Raw genomic sequence first — 16,528 nt, 5'->3', positions numbered from 1 at the left:
TTCATCAAGTAACTCTACTCTCAGACGTCTATCCCAACATTATAAAGAGATGGTCAAAAATGTATGTATAAAAGATGTTTCCAACAAAAATTAAAAGCAACAGCAGGAAAATGATTCAGCACAGTATGTGATAGAAAATGTCACTAAAATGATGCTTCTGAAGACTGTTCTAATAATATACAGAAATTTGTATGCAGTCTTAGTAAAGAAATGAGGTTGTGAGTTTTGCATACAATATTTTTCAACACACGTGAAGACAAATGCAAGACAAAAAGTTAACAGAGGGGGCCGGCACAACGGCTGACACCTGTAATCCCAGCACTTTGGGAGGCGAAGGTGGGTGGATTGCTTGAGCCCAGGAGTTTGAGTCCACCTTGGGCAACACGGCAAAACCCTGTCTCTACAAAAAATAAAAAAGTTAGCCAGGCATGCTGGTGCACATCTGTTGTCCCAGCTACTCCGGAGGCCGTGGTGGGAAGATCCCTTGAACCTGGGAGGCAGAGTGCTGAGATCGGGCCACTGTACTCCAGCCTGGATGACGGAGTGAGAGACTGTCTCAAAAAGATAAGGCTGGGTGCAGTGGTTCATGCTTGTAATCCCAGCATTTTGGGAGGCCGAGGTGGGCAGATGACTTGAGGTGAGGAGATCGAGACCAGCCTGGCCAACATGGTGATGCCCCATTCTTACTTAAAATACAAAAATTAGGCGGGCTTTGGTGGCATGTGCCATAGTCCCAGCTAGTCAGGATGCTGAGGCAAGAGAATCACTTGAACTTGGGAAGTGGAGGTTGCAGTGAGTAGAGATCATGCCACTGCACTCCAGCCTGGGTGACAGAGCAAGACTTCATCTCAATAAAAATAAAATAAAATAAAATAAAATAAAATAAAAAGATAAAAAGCTAACAGATTACTTTAGATTTGGGAGGATGGGTTATTTTTCCCTTCTCCTTAATACTTCACTCTGTTTCACAAACACCCACAATAAGCTTTACCTTAAAGCTTTTATAATTATAAATTTTTAAAATTATAAAAGTCATTTAAGAAACACAGCTGCTGTTCGTCCCTTAATTACTTGTTCCTTATTTGAGATTGCCTTGTCTCCCAGCTGGTCACCTGGTTCCTCTCTCCCTGCAGAACATCAAAGCTACAGAATTGACTTCTGCTGGTGTTGACTACGAATGTCACAGCCCATAAAGCCAGGTTTAATGGAAAATCCCAAGGTGGTGGGGACAACAGCCTATTTATTTTCAAATGATTATTTTAAGGATAACAGAAAGAAACACAGCAAGATGGGCCTTCATGGATGACTCTGGCTCTGAATCCCTGAGCAAAGTCAAGGGCCAGAGAGAGCAAACCAGTGCCAGCACACCTTGATCCTACAGGAAGGCAAGGATGGTTTCATACTTTTTTGGAACAGGCTTTTCTGCAGGAACTCCAAACTCTTGGAAGATTCCAGTGTTTTCCCCCTAAGTTAACCCATCCTAAAATAGTCAAGGTGGGGCCAAGGAAAATCAGAGAGCAGACTTTAAGCTTTGGATTTTTGGGCCACATCCAGTGTATGGCTTTTTCCACAAGTTTGTCTTATGGGGTAACAGCAAGTATACTTTGAAGGCATATCCCCCAGGGTAGTTACATCTCTGAATAATGAAATTATTGGCAGTGTTATTTTCTTTTTGATGCTTTTCTGTATTTTCTAATCTTTTTGAGTGAGTTTGTGTTGCTTTTATAAGGAAAAGAATACTTTTTATTTTTAACATCATAACTGAGGGTGATATATGAAAAAGGTGCATAGGAAAGAAGACTCAGAAGGTGGTGAAGTAAGACTTTATATATATCTTATTTATAATAAATAAGATATATCTTATTTATAATAAATAAGATATATCTTATTTATAATAAATAATATTACATATCTCTTATTTATAATAAATAATATACATATCTTATTTATAATAAATAATATTATATATATATAAAATACTTCCTTTGCATTTCCTAATTACTTTGTAATGGAACTACCTTCCATTTCCCATCAGAAAAATATACATTTATTGAAATGTACCTGAGTCCTAAAGTTCTAAGTGAACTCTAGAGAAATGTTTATTTTCATGGATAGATATTATTTTATTTCTGGGGTGGGAGGAGCAATTCATTGGCTCCAGATCATTAGACATCCACACAACTCAAGCTTGATGCTGTCGTAAGTATTTACTAAGCATTTTACTTAGGACTGCACTAGTCTATTTGTTTCACTCATTTATTCATGCAACATACATTTCGGATATTCTATACTTAACAAAAATTGAGACAGAGTCTTGCTCTGTTACCCAGGCTGGAATACAGTGGCATGATCATAGCTCACTGCAGCCTCGAACTCCTGGGCTTAAGTCATCCTCCTGCCTCAGCCTCCCAAGTAGCTGGGACTACAGGTGTGCACCATCACACTTGGCTGATTTTTCTTTTTTACTTTATTTATTTCATTTATCTATTTTTTGAAGAGAAGGGTGTCTCACTATGTTGCCCAGGCTTGTCTCAAACTCCAGGCGTCAAGTGATCTTCCCACTTCGGCCTCCCAAAGTGCTGGGATTACAGGTATGGGCCACTGCACTCAGCCATAATATTCTGTACTTTAAGTGTATTGATAAATACATTTGTCTGTATGCTGAAGGAACTTTCTGTCTTGCTGAGAATATAGATGAGTTAATCAACAATTATAGTTCTGCAGTGGGTCTTAAAATTAAGCATGCATCAGGCCAGGCACAGTGGCTCACGTCTGTAATCCCAGCACTTTCGGATAGTGAGGTGGGTGGATCACTTGAGGTCACGAGTTCAAGACCAGCCTGGCCCATATGGCGAAACCCCGCCTCTACTAAAAATACAAAAATTAGCCAGGCATGGTGACATGCGCCTGTAGTCCCAGCTACTTGGGAGGCTGAGGCAGGAGAATTGCTTGAGCTGGGGAGGCGGAGGTTGCAGTGAACCAAGATCATGCCATTGCACTCCAGCCTGGGCGACAGAGGGAGGCTCCGTCTCAAAAAAAAAAAAAATTGTGTATGCATCAGAATCATCTGGAGGGCTTTTTAAATCACAGATTTTTGGGCTACACCCCAGAGCTACTGATTCAGTCAGTCTGGGAATCCCAGGAAATGCTGCTATGACTGGCCTAGGGCTCACACTTGGAGAACCACTGCAATATCAGTGCTTAAAAGAGAGGTATATAGGGTGCAGTGGGACCACCTGCAGTGGTCCATTAGTGTTGAAAGCTGTGAAAGTGGAAATGAGATGGCAGACAGCATGGGCCAACGAGGCAGAATTTGCAATCAGCCCATTAGAATCCTGGAAGACTTAGTTACTAGGTAGCTCTTCTCCTCTTTCAGAGCCTGGCAACAGCTATCACCTCTTTCCCTGCTACTCTCTGGGACAGAATTCCCCCAACTCCATTTCTCTCCTGCCTCCTCTCAAGACTCTCTTTAAACTCCAAAGAAATAAAGAAGGGGTTCTACATCCTCTGAAGAGGATAGACTCCAGGCTGTAGGTGGCTAGGAACTGGCCTCAAAACAAAAAGGATGCCAAATCATTAAAACAGTTCTGATGCCATTAGACATGCAAGGAACACAACCTCACCACTCTTGAGTCAGGCACCGAACCATAAGGCCCTTCAAGAAGGAGACGTCACTAATAATAGCATCATTGGCCCTGGCAGAGACTCTTCCAAATGCTTGGGTAGGTGAGGATGGGTGGGAAGGAAAGGATCCGTGTCCCCTCCACTGAAAATGCCTATAAAGTTGACTGTGTTGGATAGATCCTTTGCTGTAGCTGCAGTGACCCCCATTTAGTGACTCTATGAGTACATAATGTAACGAATGGTTTCTCCTAAGTCTGTGTAATCATAAAATGTTGTAAAGCTTTGCTGTATTATTAAGTTAGTAAGGCCACATATAAAATACCTCCTGGGTGAAGGTCGAGTAGATGATTACAGTATTCCCTGAGTGGAAGTTCAGCTGTCAAACAGAAATGGCATGAGCTTTAATTTCTGCAACTGTGAACCTTGTATTTTGTCAGCTGGGTAAATTTAAATGTACCAGGACAGCTAGTCCTTTAAAGTGACCCATAGAATAGATAATTTTGCAGTAGTATACTCATTCTCTAGTTTTTATTTAATATAAACTTGGAGTTTTATGGATTGCATGTGAAGGGTTCTATCTACAATTTTTAATAAGTCTATAAAGGTGAGAGTCAGTACACCACAATATATTTCTTTCTTGAACAAATGTGTGTGTGTAAGGAATAAATGTGAGAATAAATATAGCATATAGAGAGGCGAGGTGCGGTGGCTCATGCCTGTAATCCCAGCACTTAGGGAGGCTGAGGAGCGTGGATCACCCTCTGAGGTCAGGAGTTCAAGACCAGCCTGGCCAACATGGTGAAACCCCATCTCTACTAAAAATATAAAAAATTAGCTGAGCATGGTGATGGTCACCTATAATCCCAGTTACTCAGGAGGCTGAGGCAGGGGAATTGCTTGAACCTGGGAAGCAGAGGTTGCCGTGAGCCAAGATCACGCCATTGCACTCCAGCCTGGGCAACAAGAGCAAAACTCCATCTTAAAAAAAAAAGGGCATATAGAGAAGAAATTTGGGGTACCATTCTTCACAGGTTTCTTTTTTAATCTAGTAAATTTTGCTAGTCACTTGCTTCCTTCCCTTTCTTGTCTTGCAGCTGATCTGATTTATCTTCCTATGTATCTGATGAATGGTTTATCCAGGGACTGGCAAAAGGAGAAAAACAAGATGCAGAGGAATGAGACTGAGAGTACCACAGTGTGAACAGTTTCCCCAAAGTGCTTCATTTTGGCTCCAGGTAAGTTATAATCAACTGAAGCTGTCTTTGGTACATTAATTCAGGGCATCAGATGTCAGAATCCACATTTCAAAGTGCTTTCCTTGCATATAAGAACACACTAGGCTGTTCTCTATAGAAAAAAAAAAAAAGGAGCACAATAGTCTGGCAGGACTTGAGTTCATGTTTTCTTTTTTTTTTGTGACAGGGTCTCACTCCTTTGCCCAGGCTGGAGTGCAGTGGCATGATCTTGGCTCACTGCAAACTCCATCTCCTGGGCTCAAGCGATTCTCCTGCCTCAACCTCCAGAGTTGCTGGGAGTACAAGTGCGCCACCACGCCCAGCTAATTTTTGTATTTTTAGTAGAGCCGGGGTTTCACCATATTGGTGAGGCTGGTTTCGAACTCCTGGCCTCAAGTGATCCACCCGCCTCGGCCTACCAAAATATTGGGATTACAGGCATGAGCCACCGTACCCAGCCGAGTTCATGTTTTCTGTGTGCAATGCAATGATGAGGTGGAAATTATTATCCCCAGTTTACAGATAGGAAAACACAGATGATAAAAATAGAAATATTTGTTTTTTTTAAATGGCCATTTAGTTTTTAAACAGCAAAAATGTCCTAGGAAATATGCTTGACTACATGTGGGAAAAAAGTTAGATTTTTCTTCTTAACACATACGTAAGTAAATTCCAGAAGAGAATACGGAGATTAACTGTAAACATTGAAAATACAAAACTACTAGATGAATAGAATGAATCTTTACCTAATTTCAAATACAGTAGAATTTTCTAACAAAAGCCATGAAAGAAATTACTTCTTTTGATAATATGCATCTTGTAAAAGTTCTAACAGTACTGCAGACAAAATATAAACGTGGAAAATAAATTTAAAGAAATATTTGCAACATAGATGAATGAAGAGATGGTGTACTATAAAAAGAAATTTAAAAAATTTGGGCTGGACATGGCAGTTCACGCCTGTAATCCCAGCACTTTGGGAGGCCGAGGTGGGTGGATTACTTGAGGTCAGGAGTTAGAGACCAGCCTGGCCAACATGGTGCAATCCTGTCTCTACTAAAAATACAAAAATTAGCTCGGTGTTGTGGCGCATGCCTGTAGCCCCAGCTACTTGGAAGGCTGAGGCATGAGAATCACTTGAACCCGGGAGGTGGAGGTTGCAGTGAGCTGAGGTCGAGCCTTTGAACTCCAGCCTGGGTGACAAGACTGAAACTCTGTCTCAAAAAAAAAACAACAAAAAAACAAAAATTAAAATAAACAGTCACCACCAGAAAGGGAGCAAGGAGAAGCAACCAAGTGTTTTTGAAAAGAAGAATTTGACTTTATGTCCTCAGGTTAAAGACAAAAACTGTAAGCAATTATTGTAGTTAGTAGGGTTGTAGGTTTGTTTTTCACAGTGTTATGTGTTAGCCTTCTGAAGCTATGTATATTCCATAATTGACAAAATAATGGAATCCAGGTTTTTTTTTACTATCAAAGAATGGAATTACAAATACACGAAGGGAGAAAGCTACAAAGCATCTTGTAGTGTTGGATTGTAATTGGAGGTATCAGTATAAATATGTGGTTTTAAATATATAGTTATAGAAATCAATATGAATCTCAGGACACAGACATATACCTGGTTCTGTTTGCTGAGAGTGTCTAAAAGTAACGACATTCGGTAGCATTGAGCACATTTAGTGCCCAGACATGGTTTCTAAATACCACCCTCCACTGAAAGGAACCAGAGCTCCTTGGAGAGTTGGCTGAATCCAAAAATGAAACATTTTGCTGTGCAAGTAAGTAAAGAAATGCTCAAGGAATGATAGGGACATGTCACAAAGACATAGGAACCGGATCGAAGAGGCTCCCACTGACCAACTCTGGAACAATTTGAGCGTCAAAATAAAAGATAGCGCAACAGATTATCATTCATTGAATAAAATTAGAATTCATAAGTATCTACATTGATATAAACGAATGAATGAATGAATGAATACATAAATAAATGGATGGAGAGAATGAAGAGTGCTTCCTTAGAGCAGGATGCAAACTAATAAATGAGGAATGATGGAATGAGAGAATTGCCTTTTGATAACCTTCATAATAATAACAGATTCAGCAAGAATCATCAAAGGATGGTAAAAATAGCAAGTAAAATGTTATTTTATTTTATTTTTGAGACAAGGTCTCGCTCTGTCACCAAGCTGGAGTGCAGTGGTGCAATCTCGACTCATTGCAGCCTCAACCTCCTAGGCTCAAGCAATCCTTCCACCTCAGCCTCCCGAGTAGCCTGGACTACAGGCGCACACCACCACACCCAGCTGATTTTTGTATTTTTTTGTAGAGACAGGGTTTTGCCATGGTGTCCAGGCTGGTCTTGAACTCCTGGGCTCAAGCGATCCACCTGCCTTGGCCTCCCAAAGTGCTGGGATTACAGGTGTGAGCCACCATGCCCAGCCACAAGTACCATTTTAAAGATTTAATAGGATACTTACATAATATCTAGTTGCTCCCTATCAGATAGCTTTTAATTTCAAAGAGTAAAATGGCAGCTTTTATATTAGCGCATGTTGGTAGGAGCCACCTTAATCAAATGCTCAGAGTTAACAACATCCGTAGTGTGTCAGAACCACAGCACGTGCCTCCTGCACTAAGAAAAACACTGCATCACTTCTGCAGTATTCCTGCCAAGATGCATGACATGAACCTAACCAAGAGGAAGCACCAAGAAACTCAAAACTCTTTTACAGCATAATTGACCTGTACTCTTCCAAAGTGTCAAAGCCCGACAAGAAAGGCCAAAGAACCCAGATTAAAGGATACCAAGGGTACAAATGTCATAGGTGTTGTTGGATTAGATCCTGGACCAGAATCTTTTATTTTGCTAAAAGAGCAATTGTGAGCCAATTAGTGACATTAAATAAATTCTGTGTAGATTAAATTCTACTATAATCTCAACGTTAACTTTCTGATTTTGATAAATCGAATCTGGGGGTATATATAAGACTGGTCTTGTTTTTAGAGAATACACACAGAAGTATTTATTTATTTATTTTGAGTCAGGGTCTTGCTCTGTCTCCAGGCTGGAGTGCACCTCATAGCTCGATGTGTGGTCATGGCTCACTGCAGCCTCAAACTCCCAGGCTCAAGGGATCCTCCCACCTCAGCCTCCTGAGTATCTGGGACTACAGGTATGCACCACCACACCCCAGCTAATTAAAAAAAATTTTTTTTTGTAGAGATGTGGTTTTGCTATGTTGCCCAGGCTGTTCTCAAATTCCTGGCCCCAAGCAATCCTCCCTCCTTGGCCTCCCAAAGTTTTGGGATTGTAGACATGATCCACTGTGCCCAGCCACACGGAAGTATTTAAAGGGAAGCGGGCTTGAGGTTCGCAATTTACCATCAGATAGTTCAAAAAAAGTAATATACGTAGGAGAGAGAGAAAGCTGGAGAGATATGAAGCAAACATGACAATATCTGTATTTGGGGAATCTGGGTAAGACCGTATTGGAATTCTTTATTCTGTTTTTGCAATCTTTCTATAAGCTTGAAATTATTTCAAAGTAATTGGTAGAGACAGTGAGAATTTTTTAAAAAAGTCTCTCCACAAACACACACAGAGACACACACATGCAAAAACATGACTGACAGAAATTTAGCGAAAGTGTTAATAAAGTTTGTATCTGGATGGTGAGATTACGTAGTAATAAAAACATTACATTTGAAATTAATCTTTGTGTTTTTACATACTACACATGCTCAATCATGTGTATTTATTTTAAAAATATCCATTTATTTAAATTTTTAGAAGCTCTAGCAGGGCCTGTGGCCCTTGCTCTGCCTGTCACGAAAGGCACCTTTTTGATGACAGTTGTTTGTCTTTGTTGCTGCTTGGCTATGCATGGACACACCCATCTTGGCTCCACCAGCAGCTGTGGTGGTGGCAAAATAGTTCTGGGTATGACCATGACAGCAAGACAGCTGTAGTCTCATATGACTGAGAGTGTCACATGCTTTTCCCCTGAGGTGCTGAGTAGACCGTATACCAGAAGGAATTCTAAAAACAGCAATGTGCATGCTTTCTGCTGCGGAAGCACCCTGTCACTTTCTTGTGGCCCAAGCATTCCAGAGTGAGAAACTTGGAGTGTGTCTGCATTGTTAAAAGTATCCTTTGATTTTTTTTTTTTTGAGACAGTTTCGCTCTTGTCGCCTAGGCTGGAGTGCAGTGGAGTGCAGTGGCTCAGTCTCGGTTCACTGCAACCTCCGTCTCCTGGGTTCAAACAATTCTCCTACCTCAGCCTCCTGAGTATTTGGGATTACAGGTGCCCACCACGATGTCCAGCTAATTGTTTGTGTATTTTTAGTAGAGACAGGGTTTCGCCAGGTTGGCGAGACTGGTCTCGAACTCTTGACCTCAGGTGATCTACCCGCCTTGGCATCCCAAAGTGCTGGGACTACAGGCATGAGCCACCACACCTGGCCTGATTTTTAGAAAATTATTATTTATTACAGATTTATAGAGCATGCCTTGTTGTGCCTTGTTGTGCCTTGAAAAAGTATTCTTTTCCCTGTGGTTGTAGTTTTTAAAATAAATTTTTCAACAGCACATCTCATAGTATTGGGTAGAAATAACAGGAAATCAATACATACGAGTCTGATTGGCTCATTAAAATACAATAAGTGAGTCAAAAAGGTAAGCGGCTGGAGTGAGCAGAAAGCGCTGCAGTTCTGGACTTTAAAGTATAGATGATGCAATGAGTTTGACAGCCTCTTTGACCAATTAGTTTCACAGCTTTCTAATTTCTGCCAGTTAGAAGTGACATAGGTGGGTCACTGAGTATTCATTCCTCTGGCCTCAGGCCAGGTGACTCTTAATGTCAGGATGTCAGAGGGTAGGTCGCAACCCAACTTTCTCCAAAACTTCTAGAAAAGTCTCACAATTTTATGTAAGCAGACACCCTGAATTTTTTATCAATCAAAATCCAGACCTAATTGATGAAGCTCCTTAAAACATAAAGCTGAGTCTTTTATTTACTTTGTGGTTTCAGAGAAAGTCACATGTCTAGTTGTTCTAGATTGTTCTACTTTCCTTCTGTCGCTATGAGAGATCATTTCATCTATTTATTCTCAAAGGCTGCCACCATCCAAAACATGGAGAAAAACCCTTAGCCCCTCATTAGAGGAATGAGACTTGGAGTTTCTATTAACCCAATTTCTGAGCAACCTCTGTTTGACTCAACTTGAGACATACTCATGTTAAATGGCATACTCTTTGGGAAACCCAACTGACTTTCTGATATTTACAAAATATTTAAAGAAAGAGAATAAAAAGCCTTTAGAGCAAAACCCTGGAAATATATAATTTACTTCCCAAACATTCAAAAGAGAATTTATGATAGTAAAAAGCTTATTATTCTGGATTAAAACCAACCAATGTGTTTAGTCACTTTACAGAAAATAAATTTAAATCAGGATCTGAAATTAAATATAAAAATATAACGAGATTGGTAAATAGCTTTAAGGTCTTAAAATTCAAGTGTGTCTCTGTTGTTTACATCGTAATGATTTCTGAATTAATGGTATTAATAATTTCATCACCTTTTAGTAATAGTAATATCTAACACATATAGTTATTTTAAGGTGACTTATACAGTAGCCTTACTAAGTAGGTACAATTATATCTTTTTTACAGATGAAGAGATGGGCACCAAGAGTTGATTGCCCAACTCTACACAGCTAATAAATGGCAGAGCTTAATCTTAAACAACAGATTTAAGTCCTAAATCCTGAATACAGAGTCCAAGTTTTTAGCTGCTACATTTGACTTTGTCCGAGTTATTATCAGAAGCAAATTGCCAAACTTTCCTCTTTTGCCTCCCAGCACAATTTATGGGCGGTCTCTCCTTCTCACCCAGGAGTGTTGGGTAAATGTTTAACAACCAACCCTCTGAAGAACTGATTTATAGCATTTGCCAATTTCCATGGTGTAAATATTCCTTCCTGGCCAATTTCACGTTACCAACTTGGTGTCACTGACCATGAGGTTGAGAAAAGATGGGCTAAAAATTTAGCAATTGGCTCTCAAGAGCGAGTCCTATCAGTTCATTTTCTGGGTGTAATTTTAAGGGTAAAACTGAGGCAAGGGTGAAATTAAGGTCTTGGGTTACCGTTTCAATGGTGTCTGCCTCTAAGCCCTTCTCCAGACGAATTTCTGAGGCTACCAAATTTCTTAGGGGAGAAGAACCAGGATGTGGGTTTGCCTTGCGCTCCTGAGAGTTTGGCTTTCTGCTGCGCCACCTGGTGGCTGTAACTGACAGTTGCTGTATTCCCTGCTGCTGTCTTGAATTCAGGCTTTAGGGTTCTTCTCCCCGAGATGGTCAGCATTCTTTGCCCAGGAGCAAGTTCAGTTACTAATAAGGCTTCTCGTGGGTAATTGGACTCTTTAACTGACAATCTCCTTTACTGAGGCCTTTAGGATAAATTCCCAGGCGTTGGGCCAAAGGGCAGTTGAGTAACAAATTAGCAGCCTTGTTGTCCTCCGCTGAAACCACCCCAACTCCACAGCAGTAGAGAGCATCCCCAGGCTTGGTTCATAAATGCCAGAATATCCGGTGTCCTAGCAAATGTCCCAAAGCTCTTGTCACTGTTTTCTAAGAGGCTTAGAGGGTCTTCAGCAAACAGGTCTTCAAGTCTTCCACATTGATATTCGATAGTTCCAAAAGCCGAAGGCATAATCCCATCCGCCATCGCATAAGCCTGCCCTTTCTATCACTACATAATTTTAAGATTATATATAGATATATATAAATTACATACATATATAGATTATATATACACATATATAGATTACATATATATATATATAGATAATAGATAGATGATAGTCAGATAGCAATGATTTGGAGGTTACCTTTTGGTTGCGCTGATCCATACCAATAATCTGCTCCTTAGTGTATTAGTAACTGAGCACTAATCCTATATTTGGGAGTTCCTCAAACATTCTTCCCTTCTTCATTTATTTTATTTTATTTTATTTTTTGTAGAGACGGGGTTTTGCCATGTTGCCCAGGCTGGTCTTGAACTCCTCAACTCAAGCGATCCTCCCGCCTCAGCCTCCCAAAATGCTAGGATTATGGCATGAGCCACTGCACCCAGCCACCTTCTTCATTTTTGTATCTTCTACTTACTATGAATTTATTCATACAACAAGTATCTATTGAGCACAGCTATGTGCTAGTCATGTGGCTAGGATGTGGACACAATGATGAATTAGACATAGATCCAGCCCGGAGCTTGAGGGGCTACCGTGGTGTGGTGGAAACTAGGGAATACATTTGGAAGCCTTAGACAAAGCAGAATGCTGTGGGTGTGATGATGAGGGGCCACTGCACTCCAGCCTGGGCAACAGAGTGAGACCCCGTCTAAACAACAACAACAACAACAAAAAGCCCATACGTTGCTGTAGGTTGCTTCAACAAACAGTTTCACATGTCCCTCTTCCTAAAGATTCCTTTTCAGCTGGTTTGAGACAGAGCCTAGGAATCTTCATGTTAAACATATTGAATAAACACTCAGATAATATTTGATGCAGGTGATCTAGGGAACCCATTTTGAAAAGCATCGTCCTTTAGAGGTGGGTTGCTCCCAAGTCCCGCTGGCATCTTGCCTAAACAGTGCTTTTGTCAGCAGGCTGGATGCTTAGCAAGAACCTGCAGTCCTGGAGTTCTGAATGAATAGATTTTAAACTGGGGCCTATATCACCCTGAGGTTACAGAGAAACTTTACAAGGGTTTCTTGCCAGGTGGTTTTCAGGGCATTCATTTATTGACCCTCAGCTTCCCTTTGTACTGTTTTGTAAAATCCATCCACAGAGGCGCTGCAGGGCCACCAGGTTGGGTCTTCTCTCCCCACCTGCCCTTTTGTCCTCCCACTCTCAGCCTCAAGCTCCTGGGCTCAGTTGATGCTACTGCCTCAGTGATTCTTCCATATTTTTGAATATTTGAGATCATAGACTACATGGATTTGTAACATTAGGTCTCAAACTAACACAGTTTGAGATTCATCTGGGAAACAGAGGATGAAATCAGAGAGGGGTGGACGGTGGGGACGTGGGCTTTCTAGGACAATGGAGAATAGCAGGCAGAGCTGTCATTCAGGGCCATCTAGACACAGCCTCTGCTTTCTACCTGGAAGGGGAGGTGGCCTTGTAGATTGTGAGGCAGGTTCAGGAACAAGGAGAGGCTGATGCTTTCCAATACTACCTCAAATGGAAGCACATGGATTACCAGCGTATATTATTCCAGATTGGCAATGCCTGCCTGAGTCTAAAAGGGTTGTTGCACTACAAGGGTTTAGCTGTTTTCTCAACATTGACGAGGACCTACCTGGACAGAGAATGACACCAGTCCCTTGAGTACTATAGGCAAGTCAGGAGCCAGGACAAACCTCTCCGGGTCTCTCACCCACTCTCTGGGAGCCTCCTTGTTTCTGTTAATTTCTCTCTCTTCGCCGAATTCAATTGGGAAATATAGCAGGTGTATGGGAATGTGTGTATTTCTGAGGGGGAATGTCACTTCTCACTGATCTACAACCCACCTTAAACACTGCAGCATTACATCATGAACAATTTCCCTGGTCAAAACAACAACAACAACAACTCAGTCTAATGAATACACAAGATTTTACTACATGGCCATGTCATACTTTATTTTTCTAGAAGGCAGTATTATTTATATGTATATATATATTAGGTTTCTAAATTTTTATGGTTATATATAAAGTGCTGTATCTTTCAACTTTTAGAAAGTTGCTCTACAAATCTTATGTATTCATTCAAAGAGTATTTATTGATATTTACTATGTGTAAGTCACTGGTCTGGGTAATTTAGAGAGTCCAAAGATAAATCATAATTAGACACTGCCCCAGAGGAGCTTATGACTTACAAGGGAATTAGTACTCTATGGATGGAAGTTATGCTTTATTTCATCTTGATAAGGATCCTCTGAGATGGGCAAGGCGGTGCTACCATCTTCATTGCTTTTGTATGGAGGAACAGGAAGTGCAGACACGTTATGACCCTTGCCTGAGGTCACAGATGGTCTTCAGTCTAGCCTCACACTTGATTGATAGTTTGGCTATGATAATCTAGGTAAATTGTTAAAAATAAATACATTAGGAAAATGCAATGTGATAAACATTTATAAATAAACTTGTGAAATTTTCAGGTTATGTTAAATTAGGTAATAGATATTCACAAAATGTCTGAGTCATTTCTAAGTAAGTTAAAATACTGAAACATAAATTGCTGAACATAAATATATGTTTGTTCTTGGCTTCTTGAATTTTATATAAAGACTAAATATATTTGGGTTTATTAATACACACAAAAATTATGTTTTGGGGAAATGCTTTTTGAAATGATAAAATGGTTCACATCTGCAACATATTGATATGTGACAGACACTAAAAAACATCTTATTTCCTAGGTTTTCAGTAGAAATTAAAGTTATTAAGAGTTAAAAATTCTAACTAATATATATAATTCTGCATATAAAGTTTACCAAAAAATGCGATATGTTTTTAATGAGGATTCTCCTTTTATGACCTTCCCTGGCTCTATTTGTTAGAATTTTAAACATGTGACTGAATTTTGATTCTGACAACTTTCACACACCTGCAAATGATCTTCTAATTTACCTACCTTCGCCCTCCTGTTGTCTTTTTTTTTTTTTTTTTCTTGAGACAGAGTCTCGCTCTGTCGCACAGGCTGGAGTGCAATAGCATGATCTTGGCTCACTGCAACCTCCACCTCCCAGGTTCAAACAATTCTCCTGCCTCAGCCTCCCAGGTAGCTGGGATTACAGGTGTGCACCACCATGCCCGGCTAATTTTTGTATTTTAGTAGAGACGGGGTTTCCCCATGTTGGCTAGGCTGGTCTTGAGCTCCTGACCTCAGGTGATCCACCTGCCTTGGCCTCCCAAAGTGCTGGGATTACAGGTGTGAGCCACCGCACCCGGCCCCTCCTATTGTCCTTTTCAAAAACTATCCGGACCATTTGACCCAGCAATCCCATTACTGGGTAAATATTCAAAAGAAAACAAATGATTCTACCAAAGAGACACATGCAGGTGCACGTTCATCACAGTGCTATTCATAATAGCAAAGACATAGAATCAACAGAGGTGCCCAACAACAGTAGATCGGATAAAGAAAATATGGTACATGTACACCATGGAATACTACACAGCCCATAAAGAAGAAAAAATCATGTCCTTTTTAGAAATATGGATGCAGCTGGAGGCCATTATCCTAAGCGAATTAATGCAAGAACAGAAAACCAATTACCACGTGTTTTCACTTATAAGTGGAAGCTAAACATTGAGTACTCGTGAACATAAATATGGGAACAACAGACAGTGGGGACTACTAGAGGAGAGGAAGAAGGGAGTGGGGCAAGGCCTGAGAAATGACCTATTGGATACTACGTCCACTACCTGGGTGATGGGATCATTCATACCTCAAACCTCAGCATCACACAATACATCCAAGTAACAAATCTGCACTTGAACTCCCTGAGTCTAAAACAAACGTTGAAAAAAACCTATCTGAAAAGATTTTTAAAACTCTATTTTTGAATACTTTTATTGATTTTTTAAGAAAAGTTGTGTCAGACTTTTAATTGTCAAAGCTTTTCTTGTTCTTTGATTTTTATTTTAAGGTGATACTGTTCTTGTTTTATAGATGTCTTGTGTTTGCTTATTTCTCAAACAGTCATAGTTTCTATGGAACTCTCTTATGCTCCCTGTGTTGTCTCTGTTTCTCTGAATTTCTGGTTTCCATTAGTCTGTTTTGGTCTTTTTCTCTTTACTTTTTTTTTTTTTTTTGAGATGAAGTCTTGATCTGTTGCCTAGGCTGGAGTGTAGTGGCATAATCTCAGCTCACTGCAACCTCTGCTTCCCAGGTTCAAGTGATTCTCCTGCCTCAGCCTCCCTGGTAGCTGGGACTACAGGTGTAGCACTACCACGTCCAGCTAATTTTTCTATTTTTAGTAGAGACGGGGTTTCCCCATGTTGTCTAGGCTGGTCTCGAACTCCTGATCTCAAATGATCCACCCACAGCCTCTTAAAGTGTTGGGATTACAGGTGTGAGGCACCGTGCCCAGCCTCTTTCACTTTACTTTTATTTTAGATCTTGTTTTCCCCAAATGCCTGGCAAGTTTGGCCCAGCCATTTATGAGCGAGGCATATTTTTGAGCTGATTGTAGGTTGTGTATCTCATGAGGCTTGTGTCTAGTGGTCTTTACTATAACAGGGTTGGGAAGCGACTGCGCTGCTTTATTGGGCAACCTCTAAGTGTTAATATCCCCAGAGAAGGATGCATGCCCCCGTTTCCTGTTGGGAGAGTGTAAGCTTGGGTGCAGGTGTGACGGACCCGGGCGGAGGAAGAGGCTGGGTGGAGAAAGGTAGGTAGACTCTCACGTACTCCTTGTATTTTTGGATCTGGCATCTCACTCTACTCTTGGAGAAATCTTGAGAATCATCTCTAAAGAAACTTGTGGCTGTTCTTGTGGGTTTCTTGATGACATTGAGTTATTAGGTTGGTGCAATAGTAATTGCAGTTTTCACAATTTTAATGACAAAAACCGCAATTACTTTTTTTTTGGAGATGGAGTTTCGCTCTGTT

At 40.6% G+C, this 16,528-nt stretch overlaps 3 annotated features.

Moving 5' to 3' along the window:
- Positions 8,612-8,661: an enhancer, noted in NCBI's record as "active region_26976". NCBI's record gives its function as "activates an Ori minimal core promoter by ATAC-STARR-seq in GM12878 lymphoblastoid cells {active_cell/tissue: GM12878}" and the evidence as "EXISTENCE:reporter gene assay evidence [ECO:0000049][PMID:35858748]".
- Positions 8,832-8,931: an enhancer, noted in NCBI's record as "active region_26975". NCBI's record gives its function as "activates an Ori minimal core promoter by ATAC-STARR-seq in GM12878 lymphoblastoid cells {active_cell/tissue: GM12878}" and the evidence as "EXISTENCE:reporter gene assay evidence [ECO:0000049][PMID:35858748]".
- Positions 8,952-9,101: an enhancer, noted in NCBI's record as "active region_26974". NCBI's record gives its function as "activates an Ori minimal core promoter by ATAC-STARR-seq in GM12878 lymphoblastoid cells {active_cell/tissue: GM12878}" and the evidence as "EXISTENCE:reporter gene assay evidence [ECO:0000049][PMID:35858748]".

This window comes from Homo sapiens, chromosome 8, assembly GCF_000001405.40.
Source record: "Homo sapiens chromosome 8, GRCh38.p14 Primary Assembly".
NCBI lineage: Eukaryota > Metazoa > Chordata > Mammalia > Primates > Hominidae > Homo > Homo sapiens.
Note: the sequence above shows the minus strand (reverse complement) of the source record. Positions and strands in the feature narration are given on the sequence as shown.